Genomic DNA, 17,971 nt, shown 5'->3' with positions numbered 1-17,971 from the left:
TGTTAATGTTAATTAAGCATTTTTCAAATATAAATGGAAAAAAATAAATTCTTCATCCTCCTTGTAATAGACAACTGAGGATGGAAATCTTAAATGCTTTTTCTATCTGCACAAGTTCTTAAAGAAGTAAAGTTGTTCATAAGAATAAAACAATTCTTTTTTTATCATTTCTGTCTCTGATCTTTTATATGCTGGGACTGACTTTTCCATCCGCCTTAGTACATTCCTCATATTCAAGACCATGTTGTCCAAGAGAAGGGTAAGTTTACAAAAGCCGAAGTTGCAGGGACTTTCACTCAAACACTTAGAAAGAAATGAAGAATTAAATGAATAGGGCTCTATAAGCAGAAGCTAGATTAGTGTCAAGCCACAGAAGGACCTATCCTTTGAGCAGGCTACTCTGCATCTCACCTTCTAAAGAGTGGTTTAATAACATAGCAATCAGACTGAGTGTAAAATTTGCCAGGCATTCTTCTAAACACATCACAGATATTTACTGGTCTAGCCTCATGAAACCCAACGAGGCAGGTATTATTTCTCTCCTCATATTAAACATGAGGAAACTAAATCTCAGAAATGTTCAATAACTTGCTCTGAATCACAGAGTGGGCAAGTGGCTAAGCTGGGATTTGAACCCATGCAGACTGACTCCAGAGACAACACTTTAACCACTACACTTCATTGTCGGATAACTCGGGGGATCAATAATGACTCAATGTTTTCACCTGTGAAAGATGGATTAACTCAAGGGTCAAAAGCTCAAATGTCTTTGGATGCTATGAGGGTAGTAAATAAATTTAGCAAACGGTCTGAGATAAAAAGGATAATAGGAGCTGTGGAAACTTGATGAAAAAACAACTAATGGCTAGATAAGACCAATGTATTTCCAAGCTCCTCTTGATTTTTCAAGACATGCTGATAATAAAGAATTCTATGTAAAATTTCCAAATGATTAAAATACTAAATAGTCCAAGTACAACTGTGATTTAATGCGGCTCCTGAGCCACCAGTTGGTGACTTCTCAACCAGATGAGTTCTAAGAATTTTTTCAGAGTCATTGCCCTATTACTCATCTATAATATCCATGTAGCAGTATATCTAACAGCCAGTCTTCATGCGAAATAATGCTACTGGTTTCTGATATAGGATATTCAGTAAAAATCATGTGGCTAACTATATTAGGAAAGATAAGTTTGGCTTCCACATTATAAGAATGTTGCCTTTCGGCTGGGCACAGTGGCTCACACCTGTAATCCCAGCACTTGGGGAGGCCAAGGCAGGCGGACTACTTGAGATCAAGAGTTCGAGACAAGTCTAGCCAACATGGTGAAATCCCGTCTCTACTAAAAATACAAAAATTAGCCAGGCATGGTGGCCTGTGCCTATAATCCCAGCTACTGGAGAGGCTGAGGCAAGAGAATCACTTGAACCTGGGAGGTGGAGATTGCAGCAAGCCAAGATTGTGCCACTGCACTCCAGCCTGGGTGACCGAGTGAGCGAGTGAGACTCTGTCTCCCCGCCACCCGCCCCCCTCCCCTGCAAATAAAAGAATGTTGCCTTTTATTCAAAGTTATGTATGTATGCAGGCCTCACATAAAACTGGAATTTAAAATAACACTTTTAATTTTTCATATGTGAGAGTCCATAACTACAAATAAATTGGAAACATAGACTTTTTCTCATTTTATCTTAGGAATAGACATTTGCTCTTATATTGTATTTATGATTTGAATTAACTAATTTGGCTCTACAAATGTTGCTTGCTAAAATTTGTCAGCATTATTTGCATCATAAATGCTTGAACTCATCTTTGATGTTCTTGCATGATTTCTCTCCTAGGTTTTTCTGTCCAGAAAATTTAAGCTTCTGTAGATATAATTATCACTCTAAATTTGAACCATACATTTGGCTTACTCAAAACAACTAAAGATATTCCTTGAATTTCTTATTTTAGAAAATCTCTATAAATAATTTTAACTATGGCTTTAGTCATAGTTAAAATTGTAAATACATTAAAAAGTTTCTATATCAACCAGAGGCTATTTACATTTCTGAAGGGATTAAAAACTTGGGAGTCTTTGGTTTTAGTTTCCTATATTTAGAAAGTGATAGATGCATGGAATAATTGCAGTGATAAATGCAGAATAATTGAAATGCAAGCATCTTGTAATTAATTTCTCTCTAATGTACTTTAGCTTCCAGTTGACTGCTGAGAAGGATAAAATCTTTGAGGTTAAACTCATTAATTTCATTGGCATCTCCTGGAAAGTATTCATTTTGCTTTGAGGGAGCATCAACAAAACAAAAGCACAGAATTTTAAAGCTGGATAGGATGCTAAGATTAAGTTTAAACACACACACTCACACACACACACACACACACACACACACATCATTATCTGGAAGTCCTATTTCCAGAATCATATTCAGCATGTTAAATACTTTTTGGTTCCAACACTTCCAGGAGTTTGTATTATTGTATTACAAGGCAGCTTGTCATCACACATCTGGCATATGTCTACACAGAAATATTGCACAAATGTGTATCATAATATTTATTCAAAGCATCTCAGAGAAAGATAATAATAGTTATCAAGGTTATGACAATTCCTAAAACTAGATTTTTTCCCAAAATAAAATCTATAAATAGCATTATTTTATGCTCCCTTCAAAATAGGTATTTTGGGAGCAAAGAAAAATAAATGTTTGCTTTAAATGTATGTTGTGAAACTACTGTATAGTTGCTTAAACCAGTTTTGTGGATTTGGTTAAAAAATTATAGTGTTATATATAAAATGGTTTGTGGTTCCTAGCACAAAAATCTTCCTAAAGATAACAACATGTTACATTACTTTATTTTCACATTGCTATAAAGAAGATTGGGATTGGGTAATGTATAAAGAAAAGAGGTTTAATTGACTCACACTTTTACATGGCTGGGGAGGCCTCAGAAACTTACAATCATGGCGGAAGGTGAATGGGAAGAAAGACACACCTTACGTGGTACCAGGAGAGACAGAGCAAGTGGGGGATGACACACACTTTTAAACCATTAGATCTCATAGAACTAACTCACTCTCACCAGAACTGCATAGGGGAAACCTCCCCCATGATCCAGTCACTTCCTACCATGTCCCTTCCCTGACATATGGGGATTATAATTAAACATGAGATTTGGGTGGGGACACAGAGCCAAATCATATCATTTTACCCCTAGTACCTCTCAAATCTCATGTCCTTCTCACATTTCAAAACACAATCATGCCTTCCCAACAGTCCCTTATAGTCTTAACTCATCCTAGCATTAACCCAAAAGTCCAAAGTCTCATCTGAGACAAGGCAAGTCCTTTTGGCCTATGAGCCTGTAAAATCAAAAGCAAGTTAGTTACTTCCAAGAAACAGTGGGAGTACAGGCGCTGGGTAAATGCTGCCATTGCAAAAGGGAGAAATTGGCCAAAAGCAATGGTCTACAGGCCCCTTGCAAGTCTGAAACCCAGCAGGACAGTCATTAAATCTTAAAGCTCCAAAATAATCTCCTTTGACGTCATGTCTCACATACAGGACATGCGGATACAAAGATTGGCCTCCCAAAGCCTTGGGCAGCTCCACCCCTGTGGCTTTGCAGGCTACAGCCTCCCTCCCGGCTGCTTTCATGGGCTGTGTTGAGTGTCTGTGGCTTTTCCAGGAGCACAGTACAAACTGTCTGTGGACCTACCATTCTGGGGTCTGGAGAATGGTGGCTTCTTTGTATAGCTCCACTATGCAGTGCCACAGTGGGACTCTGTGTGGGGGCTCCAACCCCACATTTCCTCTCTACATTGCCCTAGTAGAGGTTCTCCATGAGGGCTCCACTCCTGAAGCAGACATCTGCCTGGATATCCAGGTGTTTCCATACATCCTCTGAAATCTAAGTGAAGTTTCCTAAACTCTTGCCTTCTGTGCACCAGCAGGCTCAACACCACATGGAAGCCACCAAGGCATGGGGCTGGAACCCCCTGAAGCCACAGCCTGAGCTGTACCTTCCCCCTTTTAGCCATGGCTGAAGCTGGAGCAGCTAGGATGCAGGGTGCCATGTCCTGAGACTGCACAGAGAAGCAGCACCCTGGGACTAGCCTACAAAACCATTTTTCCTTCCTAGGCCTCCAGGTCTGTGATGGGAAGAGCTGCCATGAAGAGCTCTGAAATGCCCTGGAGACATTTTTCCCATTGTCTTAACATTTGGCTCCTCTTTACTTATGCAAATTTCTCCAGCTGGCTTGAATTTCTCCCCATAAAATAGGTTTTTCTTTTCTACCACATGGTCAGTCTGCAAATTTTTCAAACTTTTATACTCTGCTTTTGAACATAAGTTCCAATTTCAGACCATCTCTTTGTGAATGCATAAGACTATATACTATTAGGAGCAGCCATATTACATCTTGAATGCTTTTTTACTTGGAAGTTTCTCCTGCCCGATACTCTAAATCATCTCCTGTAAGTTCAAAGTTCCACAGATCCCTAGAGCAGAGACAACGCTGCCAATCTTTTTGCTAAAGCAAAGCAAGAGTGACCTTTGCTCCAGTTCCCAATAAATTCCTAATCTCCATCTGAGACTATCTCAGTCTGGACTTCATTGTCCATACCATTATTAGCATTTTGGTCAAAACCATTCAACAAGTCTCTAGGAAATTCCAAACTTTCACTCATCTTCCTTTCTTCTTCTGAGCCCTCCAAACTGTTCCAAACTCTTCCTGTTATCCAGTTCCAAAGTCGCTTCCACATTTTGAGGTATCTTTATAGCAGTGACCCACTCTCGTGGTACCACTTTTCTGTATTAATCCATTTTCACACTGCTATAAAGCACTAACTGAGACTGGGTAATTTATAAAGAAAAAGTGCTAAGTTCTGCATGGCTGGAGAGGCCTCAGGAAACTAGCAATCATGGCAGAAGGTGAAGGGGAAGCAAGGCATGTCTTACATGGCAGCAGGAGAAAGAAAGGGAGCAAGGGGGGAATTGCCACACACTTTTGAACCATCATATCTCATTGAGAACTCACTCACTATCATGAGAACAGGAGGGGAGAAACTGGCCCCATGATCCAGTCACCTCCTACCAGGTCCCTCCCTAGACATGTGGGGATTACAGTTTGACATGAGATTTGGGTGGGGACACAGAGCCAAACCATGTGACTTGCTGAGTGGGACTTAGTGCCAAATTCTGACACAAAGAAGTTTTAAGTAACCCACCTTCTGAAGTGAGGCACCCATAATTGGGATCAGATCCCTCCCTCATTGTTCTCTGAGTCTCAAGAGATTACAGAACCACTCTGATCTCTGTCTAGCAAATATATGGGTGAAAAACAGAGGTAGTGTAAGAATCATATGTCTTGTGAAAATTTTGTTACTGGTAAGACGCAATTTCTTCTCCTGGCCATGGTGGAAAGGAGGAAGAAGGCTATTGTTCTGTTGCTTCATTGGATATCTGCTTGGGTAATAGTTTTACTGATTTGGCTTAGGTCTCTGAGCAAAAAGGGAATTGCAGAGAGACAGCAGGAAGGTAGACAGAAGGTGCAGGACTAAACCACACACATACCCAGCATTCAGTACAGGAAAATGAATGAGTTTCCATGGCCATGAGAATTTTGAGAATGGAGAACTTGAATCATTCTGCTGATAGTCCACCCAAAAGAGCTGTCCACCAGATAAAGGGACCCCTGCAGTTACAGCATGGAGTGTTCCACCCATGATGAGGGCTGAAGATGGCTGAGGGCTAATGTTTTAGTATGATCTTGAACTTTCACACTAGGTAACTGAGCAGGAAGATCCCACAGGACCCTTCAAAGCATGCACCTATGTACCCCATGAGAGAATCAGGATTTCTTCTTCACCTTGCAGAGAAGGTAACCCTGAAGAGAGAGGTGAGGCAAGAAAGACAGATCCTTCCCTTCCCTTATAACTTCAGATCCCTCAGCCTTGGATAAGTTTGTGCTTGGGAAAAAAGAGAAAATGTAATTTTAATCAATTGGGATTAAATTTTTATCAGAACTGGACTTTTCATTATCAAAATCACAGAAAAAAAATGTATATTATATCCAAAATATTAATGGGGGATAGGAGAGGGTCTGAGGATGAGCAAAATATGTTTTGAAACTCCTCATAAACTGGGGGTGAAACAAGACTCAGGTTTCTGTTGGTATTTATTTTATTATATTTTTGAATATATGTCTGGACAAGAGGAAGCTAGAACCAGAGATACAAATAAATTTGCAGACCAAGAGTTAGCCTTCAGTATAGAAAGCAGGCAATTTCATCATTCCTTCAAATTCTTCAACAGGTCAAAACAACGAGAATTTAAGAGATATAGTATAGTCTTTCAGGTGGAGTGTAAACCTTAGAAGACTGAGAAAAATGGCCCTGCTGTAATCAACAATCTATTCAGATACTACTTGCTACATTTATAATGTCTTACAAATTAATAACCTAGAGACAACCAACTATCTTCAGAAAACACTAATGCTTCAAGCCCCAGAATTTTCAGGTGGGATTAATATACTAGGGATTTTAGCTCAACCCAGGAGCTCCCAGAACAAATGAACTGGCCAGTAACTTGAGCAAAGGAGATGCTGTTTTCACACAATTAGCTATTTTCTTGTAGTAATTAGTATCAATTAGCAGAAACATAACATAGACCTCCAAATAACAGGGGGTTACACAAAAGGAGTCGTTTATTTTGTCTTCAGTTCAGTGACTCCGTTGCCAGCTTTCTGCTCCATCATCCCTAGGGTGTGGCTCTCATTCTCTTCCTATCCAAGAATGTCTGAGATCCAAGCAACAGGTTTTAGAGAGGAGCAGAAAAACTACACTTCTTCCTTTAAGACTATGGCCTGAAAATGGCACACTTTTCCTCCAACTCATTGCCCAGAACTTAGTCAATTTGCTGCAACTTCCTGGCCACCGTGACCTCAGCTCAAAATGAAAGTTCCTTTATTACAGGAGAGGATATACAGGGGATTATTAGAACTAGCAGTTGCTAACACATCACTTATATGGCAACTATAAGTGCCATAACTTAACTGTGCATAGATATAGCCATATCAAGAAATTAAGTAAAATATATTCTGGGCAGTCCAATAAGTATTACAAATCCATGCACTAAACTTGGTGAACTTTATTCATATAAGACTGCATCATATCTGAAATATTTGTTTTTTCCCTGATCAAATAATTTTGATAAGATGGTATAAAGCCTGTAATTGAAGAGAAGAAATAAATTATAAAAAAGAAGAATTGATAGGGGTATAAATACTGAATTATAATGATCTTTGGTACCCTGAAAGAAAATCTAATTAGGAAAAAGACACAACTCCAATAGCAGAGAGATCTAGAATAAATGCAATAATTTAGTATAATGCATATGCCATTTACTTATCGCTTTATCCCACAAATATCCCCGGGATATTAATTGCAATTCATTAGGTGTTTTTAAAAAAGGGTATGACCTTTTAAGAAAGGCATGATTTAATGTAACGGATATTGAGAGAGCCTAAGTAAGGCTGATTTCTGAGCTTACAGGCAATAATCATCAGCCATTTGGAAAACTTAGCTATCCAATAAAAGCCATTCTCTAAGTAGTCTAAAAGCTGAGAGTTTAATTTTAGTGTGTTCATATGTATATTTTTAAGTGTATTCATCAATAAATGCCTTTTATGTACTGTACTTGGACATACAGTTTTTCAAAATGTGTGAGTTTGCAAACTGATTGGATATCATTTAAAAAGGATTTGTAAATTTTATTGAATATCAAGAAGTATGATTCATAATAAATGATATTTTAATAAATTATTTATTAAAATCATACTAAATGATTATTTTAATAAAATGTATCAGTTTTACCCCAAACACATTATAATTTATCTTATTATAATTGCTAAAGTATTGTCAATTAACTTAAACTTAATTGCAGTCAATATGTGATGAGAAACACTATGGTCCATATTACTTCATATATATGGTAACTTTACTAAGAATTTCTCTAATATATTTGACCATTTCTTTTGTCTGTACTCAGGAATTTGAATAACATAAAGTATCTCTGAAAATCCAAATAGATGGCAAATAGAGTGCTAAAATTAATGAAAAGGAAACTACTCCTTTATTTACACATACATATAGAATGTCTTATGAGAACATTTAGATAAGTGGCAAACACTTTGGGACTGAAATATTGGTAAGTATGCACAAAACTAAAGAAACAAAAAATATAGTAATTATTAACTTCAGGGAAAACAAAAAGTAGTACATAAAAGGAAAAATAATCATAGCTGTGAATAGCATTTTCATAATGTTAGTAATGCAAATGCTTAGCACTTACCTATACCAAAGTTATAACTCAATTCTATTGACGACAATTGGAAGGGGAAGGGAAAGAAAAGAGACAAAAATCTTGATCATTTGTGGTGGGAATTTAAGAAACCATTATTAAAACTGGTAATCAAGAGGAAGCAATAGAAATATGTAATATGAAGAAGATAAATGCTAAAACAATCATCCAAAAGAAGTAAAAGTGATAGCCTTAGTGGAAAAGAAAGGGAAGCAGGGATCATTGTTTTATGAACAATCTCTCATATATATCAGACCTTTAAACTAAAAGTAAAAGTGAAGAAAATAAGGGAAAAGAAATTTAATACATAAAACTAAGTAAACTTAGCTAAGGACATTGTCACATTTTGATACTTGGTAAGATCTGTGGCAAGTTAATCTCCCTGAGACTTGGTCCCCCTGACCCCAACTCTGTAAAATATAGTACCTTCTTCACAAAATCACTATGAAGATTGCAGGAGAGTATGTTTGTGAAGAGTCTGTACCACTTGCTGTACATAAGCACTTCCTCCTGAACTGTTATTGCTTGTGTAATGAAACATTAAGGATGAAACACTTCCCATTCTGGTGCACCCATGGTGTAGGTCAGATAGATTGCAGATACCAATGTGAGTGAGAGACATCTCCCCATAGACAGATTTTATGAAGAAACAATAACAAAAATTAATGTCACAACTTTTGACTACATCAAAGATATCAAAGATGGTCAGATTTTGGAAAAGAGGAGGTTTGTGAAGACTTCTTTGAAAGGAGTAATGGTGAGTCTTTATGCCCATAAGGAGAAAGCATTGCTGAATTGGGGTGGGGGGGGGGGTCCCTCCTCCTCTTTAAACATAGTGAGGAAAGTTTCCACAGGATGAGTTGGAAAGTTTGAAATAAGAGCTCTGAAGTTGGGATCCAGGACAGGACAGTGTCTGACTTGCTCCCGAGAAGCAAGAGTGGGCAAGAACAGTAGGATAGATAGTAATGATAATGACAATAATGGTTAAAAATACCATAAACTAATCTAGCTCTTATAAAATGTCAGACACTGTTCTAAGCACTTTGCATATATTACCCCCATTTAATTCTCACAACTTTATCTAGTTCATGAGGACACTGAAGCACAGAGAGGTAAGTAGCATGCTATGGTTGCACAGACAGAAAATGACATAAATTTGAACAGATAACATTTGACTCCAAGATTACTTAATTCTAACAATTATGTTAGACTAATGGTCATTGAAGACAGGACTCCATCCAAAAAGAATAACCTACAATTTGGAAACTGAAGGCAGTTAATTTTGCTATGGTCTCTTGAAAATAAAATAGTACAGATTTGCATATTTGCATAACTGTTGTATACTGACAAGTGTGTAGAATTTATTTATTTATTTTTTTTTTGGAGATGGAGTCTCGCTCTGTTGCCCAGGCTGGAGTGCAGTGGCGCGATCTCGGCTCACTGCAAGCTCCACCTCCCGGGTTCACGCCATTCTCCTGCCTCCACCTCCCGAGCAGCTGGGACTACAGGTGCCCGCCACCACGCCCGGCTAATTTTTTTGTATTTTTAGTAGAGACGGGGTTTCACCGTGGTCTCAGTCTCCTGACCTTGTGATCTGCCTGCCTCGGCCTCCCAAAGTGCTGGGATCACAGGCGTGAGCCACCGTGCCCTCCCAGAATATTTTAATTAGACAGATGGTAAATAGTGAAGTTGGGTTGCAAACCTAGGCCAGGTGGATTATAGAGGCCAGGAAATATCCACTCTACTAGAGTGGAATTCATATCTGCAAACTGAGGATAATAGGGTTTATTTCATGCTGTGTTTTGTTTTGCAAAAGCAATGACTAGCACAGTGGTTCTCAGACAGTGGCCCAGGAATCTCTTGAGAAATTCAAGACTCTCTCCAGGGTCCATGAGGTGAAAAATAAGATCCATCTGTGGTGCAAGATAGATCGATGAGTTTAAATGCAATGAGTCTGAAATGTGTGTCAATATGGCTTCATATTCCACTTTGTAACTAACTTTTAACAAACTACCACTGGTTGAGTTTTAGAGTAGCCCCAATAATATCCACTGCTCTTAAAAAAAAAGCATATTTAAAAAACTCTTCCCTTTTGCTATATATCAGTACAAGTTCTTTGGAAAACAGTATAGAGATTTCTCAGAGAATAATAGAACTACCATTTGACCCAGGAATCCCACTGCTGGGTATCTCCCCACAGGAAAAAAAATTGTCATATCAAAAAGACACTTGCACTCTTATGTTTATAGCAGCACAATACACAATAGCAAAGTCATGAAATCAACCTAAGTGTCTATCAGTGAAAGACTGGATAAAGAATATGTGGCATATATATATGGTATACACCATGGAATACTATGTAGCCATAAAAAAGAATGAAATCATGGCTTTTGCAGCAACATGGATGGAGTGGGAGGCCATTATCCTAAGTGAAATAATTCAGAAACAGGAAATCAATTATCATTTATCCTCATTTATAAGTGGGAGCAAAAGAATGAGAACACATGTACTTAGAGAGGGAAGTAATATACACTGGGGCTCCAGAATGGGAGAGTGGGAAGAGTATTAGAGTTGAAAAATCAACTATTGGGTACAATATTCATTATTCAAGTGATGGGTACACTAGAAGCCCAGATGTCACTATTGGACAATATATCCATGTAACAAATCTGCACATGTAACCCCTGAATCCATAAAAAGTAAAATAAAATAAAATAAAGATTCTTCCCCTTTTGAACTATATATATATCTGTGTGAGGCTTGATTTTCTTTTTATGCATATATAGAACAGCATAACACAACATACTGAATACAGAAGCAGATACAGAAATATATCTGTCTTCCATATAAACAGACACTAAAGGTATTTGCAAAAATGTAAAACAATGCCAGTATTCTCATTATATATTTTATTTTGGAAAATATACATAGTTATTTTTCATAAAATACCTATAGTTACTATTATGTTATGGAATAATTATTTTATTTTTAAATGAATTATTTCATATTTCTATATTTTCTCAATTGCATTTCTATTAATAGATATTATCTATGTAAACAACAAAATATTGGGGCTCCTCAATAATTTATGAGACCAAAATGTTTGAGAATTATTGGCCTATCATAGCTACTCAATAAACACTGATATGGTTTGGCTGTGTCCCCATCCAAATCTCATCTTGAATTGTAGCTCCCATAATTCCCATGTGTCATGGGAGGGACCTGGTGGGAGATAATTGAATCCTAGGGGTGGGTCTTTCCCATGCTGTTCTCATGGTAGCAAATAAGTCTCACAAGATCTGAAGGTTTTATAAAGGGGAGGTCCCCTACACAAGTTCTCTCTTGCCTGCCACCATGTAAGACATCCCTTTGCTATTCCTTTGTCTTTAGCCATAATTGTGAGGCCTCTCAAGCAATGTCAAAGTGTAAGTCCATTAAACTTTTCTTTATAAATTACCCAGTCTCAGGTACATGTTTACTAGCAGTGTGAGAACAGACGAATACAGTAAATTGGTACCAGGAGTGGGGTGTTGCTGAAAAGATACCCAAAAATGTGGATGAGACTTTGGAACTGGGTAACAGGCAGAGGTTGGAACAGTTCAGAGGACTCAGAAGACAGGAAGATGTGGGAAAGTTTGAAACTCCCTAGAGATTTGTTGAATTACTTTGACCAAAATGCTGATAGTGATATGGACAATAACAGGCTGAGGTGGTCTCAGATGGAGATGGGGAATTTGTTGGGAACTGGAGTAAAGATCATGCTTGCTATACAAAGAGACTGGCAGCATATTGCCCTGACCTAGAGATCTGTGGAACTTGGAACTTGAGAAAGATAATTTAGTATATCTGGTGGAAGAAAATTCTAATCAGCAAGGCATTCAAAGGGTGACAGAGCACAAAAGTTTGCAAACTTACAGCTTGATGATGTAGTAGAAAATAAAATCCCATTTTCTGGGGAGAAATTCAAGCTGGCTACATAAATTTGCATAAGTAATAAGGAGCCAAATGCTAATCTCCAAAACAATGAGGAAAATGTCTCAAGGGCATGTGAGAGATCTTCACAGCAGCCCCAACCATTACAGGCCCAAAGGGTCAGGAGAAAACAATGGTTTTGTTGGCCAGGCCCAGGGCCTCCCACACTGTGTGCAGTCTAGGGACTTGATGCCCTGTGTCCCATCTGCAGCTGAAAGGGGTCAATGTAGAGCTCAGGCTATTGCTTCAGAGGGTGCAAGCCCCAAGCCATTCTCTTATCAAAGGTAATGGCTCTAAATGGCTGTGTTCCCTGATGTACTTTTTAGTTGGGTGAATACTGTAAAATTGTATTTATGCTGTGTTTTTTTTTTTTTTTTTTTGAGTCAGGGTCTCACTCTGTCACTCAGTCTGGAGTGCAGTGACATGATCATGGCTCACTGCAGCCTCAACCTCAGGTGTTTTTTTTTTTTTTTTGGAGTGTTGCACTGTCACCTGGGCTAAAGTGCAATGGCTCCATCTCAGCTCACTGCAACCTCCACCTCCTGAGTTCACACAATTCTCCTGCCTTAGCCTCTCGAGTAGCTGGGATTACAGGCACACACCACCACACCTGGCTAATTTTTTGTATTTTCAGTAGAGATGGGGTTTCTCTATGTTGGCCAGACTGATCTTGAACTCCTGACCTTGTGATCCACCCGCCTTGGCCTCCCAAAGTGCTGGGATTACAGGCGTGAGCCACAGTGCCTGGCCAGGTTTTGAGCAAATCTTCCACCTTAGCTTTCACATAGCTGGGACTGCAGGTATGAAACATCATGCCTGACTGTATTAGTCCATTTTCACATTGCTGATAAAGACATACCAAAAACTTGGCAATTTACAAAAGAGGGTTAATGGAGAACTCACAGTTCAACATGGATGAGGAAGCCTCACAATCATGGTGGAAGGCAAGGAGGAGCAAGTCACATCTTATATGGATGGCAGGAGGCAGAGAGCTTTTGCAGGGTAACTCCCATTTTTAAAACCATCAGATCTCATGAGACCCATTAAGTATCATGAGAATAGCACAAGAAAGACCCACCCACATAATTCAATCATCTCCCACTGGGTCTCTCCCACAACAAGTGGAAATTATGGGAGCTACAAGATGAGATTTGGGTGGGGACACAGAGTCAGATCATATAATTCTGCCCCTGGCTCCTCCCAAATCTCACATCTTCACATTTCAAAACCAATCATGCCTTCCCAACAGTCCCCCAAAGTCTCAGCTCATTTCAGCATTAATTCAAAAAGTCCACAGTCCAAAGTCTCATCTGAGACAAGTCCCTTCTGCCTATGAGTCTGTAAAATAAAAAGAAAATTAGTTACTTCCTAGATACAATGCAGGTACAGAGACATTGCCTAAATGCAGCCATTCCAAATGGGAGACATTGGCCAAAACAAAGGGATTACAGGGCCCATGCAAGTATGAAATCCAGCAGGACAGTCAACTCTTAAAGCTCCAAAATGATCACCTTTGACTCCATGTCTTACATTCAGGTCAAACTGATGCAAGAGGCAGGTTCACATAGTCTTGGGCAGTCTGCTCCTGTGGTTTTGCAGGGTATAGCCTCCCTCCCAGCTGCTCTCATGGGTTGGCATTGAGTGTCTGCAGCTTTTTCAGGTGCACAATGCAAGCTGTCAGTGGATCTACCATTCAGGGGTCTGGAGGACAGTGGCCCTCTTCTCACAGCTCCACTAGGCAGTGCTACAGTAGGGACTCTGTGTGGGGGCTCCAACCCCACATTTCCCTTCCACACTGCCCTAGCAGAGGTTCTCCATGAGGGGCCCCCAATGCAGCAAACTTCTGCCTGGTCATCCGGCATTTCCATACATCTTTTGAAATCTAGGTGGAGGTTCCCCAACCTCAATAGTTGACTTCTGTGCCCTTGCAGGCTCAACACCCCATGGAAGCTGCCAATACCTTGGACTTCCACCCTTTGAAGCCAAAACCCAAGCTGTACCTTGGCTTCTTTTAGGCATGGCTGGAGCTTCTGGAATGCAGGATACCAAGTCTGCAGTCTGCACAGAGCAGGAGAGCCCAGGGCCTGGCCCATGAAATCATCTTTTCCTCCTAGGCCTCTGGGCCTGTGATGGGAAGGGCTGCTGTCAAGACCTCTGACATGCCCTGGAGACATTTTCCCCATTGTTTTGGGGATTAACATTCAGCTCCTCATTACTTATGCTAATTTCTGCAGCTAGCTTGAATTTCTCCCCAGAAAATGGGATTTTATTTTCTATCACATAGGCTGCAAATACGCTGTTTCCCTTTTAAAACTGAATGCATTTAACAGCCTCCAAGTCACCTATTGAATGCTTTGCTGTTTAGAAATTTCTTCTGCCAGGTATTCTAAATTATCTCTCTCAAGTTCAAAGTTCCATAAATCTCTAGGGCAGGAGCAAAGTGCCACCAGTCTATTTGCTGAAACATAACAAGAGTCACCTTTGCTCCAGTTCCCAAAAAGTTCTGCATCTCCACCTGAGACCACCTCAACCTGGACCCTATTGTTCATATAACTATCAGAATTTTGGTCAAAAACATTCAACAAGTCTCTAGGGAGTTCCAAACTTTCCAACCTCTTCTCATTTTCTGAGTCCTCCCAACTGTTCAAACCTATGCCTGTTACCCAGTTCCAAAGTCACTTCCACATTTTCAGGTATCTTTTCACCAATGCCCCACTCTACTGGTACCAATTTACTGTATTAGTCCGTTTTCACACTGCTGATAAAGACATACCTGAGACTGGGCAATTTACAAAAGAAAGAGGGTTAATGGAGAATTCACAGTCCCATGTGGCTGGGGAAGCCTCACAATCATGGTGGAAGGCAAGGAGGAGCAAGTCTCAACTTATGTGGATGGCAGCAGGTGAAGAAAGCTTATGCAGGTCTACTCCCATTTTTAAAAACATCAGATCTTGTAAGACCCATTCACTATCATGAGAACAGCATGGGAAAGACCCACCCCCATGATTCAACCATCTCTCACCTTGTTCTGGGAATTATGGGAGCTGCAAGATGAGATTTGGGTGGGGTCACAGAGCCAAACCATATCACTGCCTAATTTTTAAAGAAAATTTTTGTAGAGATGGGGGTCTCACTATTGTTGCCCAGGCTGACCTCGAACTCCTGGACTCAAGCGATCTTCCTGCCGTGGCCTTCTGAAATGCTAGGATTACAGGCATGAGTCAGTGCCCCCTGGACTAGAATTATTACTAATCCAGTACATTCTTAATATTGGGCAATACAATTAAATCTATGAGTTATAATTTAATGATTTTCTATTGTTCTTTGAAGAGTAAAGTTTTTTAATCATCTAACATGTGTTACAAAAATGATTTTGTTTAATACTGGTGCAAAGTGAGGTATTAAAATATTTAATAATATCAAAGGATATATTTTAGTGTTATATATATTTTAATAAATCACATATATTATATAACAGTATAAATATTTTACCTAGAAATTCATTGTTAGAAATTATGTCAACACATGATTACATTAAATTAAATTAAATTAAATTAATGCTATTAGTTTTTTCCCCTAAAGTGTTTAAATTAATTTTATGGATCACAAAGCTCATGTCTTGGTAGACTGTCATAAGGACAGTGGACAGGAAACTATTTGAAGACACTATAACTTGAGGCTATATTTGCTATTTGCAAGTATTCAACATCAGAGTTTTTATTGTCTTTAAAAGGCCTGGGAAACAATCACCATTGCTGTAGATATTAAAAGATATTTGGAGTTGATATCTACTAAGAAACAGGCAAAAAAGAGTAAAACAGAATACTTGATTTTCATAAAGGGACAATGTAATAATGCAAAATGCAGCAAAAGACTTAGGCCTGGAAGAAGCTCTTTTCAAGTCAGTTTGGATGCAGGTTCCTTCCTGATAAAAGCTGTCGTGCCTAGGTCTGACTCCTTAGGCAAAGACAAGGAGTGGTAAGAAGCTGCATGTAGGAGCAGGTGCAGGGATGGGTTTTTGGGGCAGGATTAAGCAGCAGTAGTAATACTCCATAGGATCTCCATGAATATCTTTGGCCAGCATCCCAGAGAGATAAAGGCAATGCTGGGAGAGACTCTGAAGTCTGCAGCTGGGGTCCAAGGTGGATAGACTGTGGCATCAGGTATCAAGGCAGAAAGGCAAGGCAAGGAAAACACAGAGAGAAATCTGTGCCCTAGAGTCAGAGGTGCAGAGAATGATTAGAGTGAGGTATTCAGTGGATAAGATCTAGAAGTTCAGACACTAAATCTGTAAAATGCTGGCACAGGGAGGACATTTCTTTTCTCTATGGCCAAACCCTTTGCTAAGATGAGGACAGTTTTTTATAGGCTGGTCACTTGTTTGCACCAACTAGCAAAGCTCCAAAAAAAAGACAAGCTTTTTTCCAAAAAAAAATTTTTTAGATTTTTAAAATTTATATATACAATCGCATCTATTTATTGTGTATTACATGATATTTGAAAGTACATATACATTGTAGAATGGTTAAATCTAGCTAATTAACAAGTACATTATCTCACATAGTTATCATTTTTGTGGCGAGAATACATCCACCTTCTTAGCATTTCTCTAAAATACAATATATCATTATTAATTATAGAAACCATGCTATATAATAAATCTCTTGATGTTATTCTTCCTATTTAACAGTAAAGCCAAGCTCTTGAACCTGCAATGAGGCAAACTCAATATAGATAAACTAATTCCAGATATTTAACAGCCATAGCCAGAGAACTGCAGAGATTACCTAATGGAAGGAAATGACAAATGCTTTAGAAAGAGAGTGGATGGAGCCTGTGCACATAGAGCCTTTGATCAACAAAAGACAAAAACAACGACACAAAATCCTGAGACTGTGTCTGGATAGGAGGTAGTAGCCATTTTTATATAGATCACTACAAAACAATCACAGCAAGAAATGAGCAGGCAGTGCAGAATTAAGAATTAAGATGATTAATAAAAGATCTGTACAGGACTGGGTCAAAGAAAATTCCCTTCGCACATGCATGGTTAAGGATTTTAGTGCTTCCTTTGTAGTGAAAGATTGGAAGTAAAATTAAAACCATAATATTGATAATCTATGTTACCCTTATTCATGTTTAAGTGAACTTTCTAATAAATTGTAAACCATACATTTGACATGTGATTTCAATCATTCTCACATCTTTTTAGGTTTTACTTTTTTTTTGCAAGTCTGAGTAAGTTAGAACAACTTCTTCAGTTACTACCAAAGACATTTTAAACAGATAGATTTCAAATGGACAAATTCTGAAAATATTCCCAGATTGAGCAGATAAATAATGTTGCACCCCTTAGAGAGCTATGTATAATATATCCTATACAGTTATATTCTTAATCAAAATATGGACAGAAATAGTTAAAATTCTAATTGTTTTCTCAATACCTACATGTTTTCTTCTCTGTGTAATAACATTTCAGATTTCATATTTTCTCCAGTAATGAAAACCTGTTTTTACCTAGACAGCTAAGAATCACTACAGGATGAAAAGCATTATTAAATGGTTTGCCACAAAATGAATGAAACCATTCATTTATTTCAACTTATGGTTATTAAGTATCAAGCTTTAAAATCTTTTGAA

The 17,971-nt window shown here is 38.6% G+C and overlaps 1 protein-coding gene across 1 annotated transcript in view, besides 1 other annotated feature; it reads right to left on the bottom strand.

Moving 5' to 3' along the window:
• ADGRB3 (adhesion G protein-coupled receptor B3) overlaps window positions 1–17,971 on the bottom strand; it is a 754,225-nt gene that overhangs the window by 518,203 nt on the left and 218,051 nt on the right. The window lies entirely within an intron of this gene.
• Window positions 1,840–2,009: an enhancer, noted in NCBI's record as "experimental_94316 CRE fragment used in MPRA reporter constructs". NCBI's record gives its function as "activates a minimal promoter by MPRAs in K562 erythroleukemia cells, with activity observed for both the introgressed and non-introgressed 6:69579272 variant alleles {active_cell/tissue: K562}" and the evidence as "EXISTENCE:reporter gene assay evidence [ECO:0000049][PMID:34662402]".

This window comes from Homo sapiens, chromosome 6 (assembly GCF_000001405.40).
Source record: "Homo sapiens chromosome 6, GRCh38.p14 Primary Assembly".
In the NCBI taxonomy this organism is placed as follows: domain Eukaryota; kingdom Metazoa; phylum Chordata; class Mammalia; order Primates; family Hominidae; genus Homo; species Homo sapiens.
The sequence above is the reverse complement of the archived record's forward strand: the minus strand, read 5'-3'. Positions and strand labels throughout refer to the sequence as shown.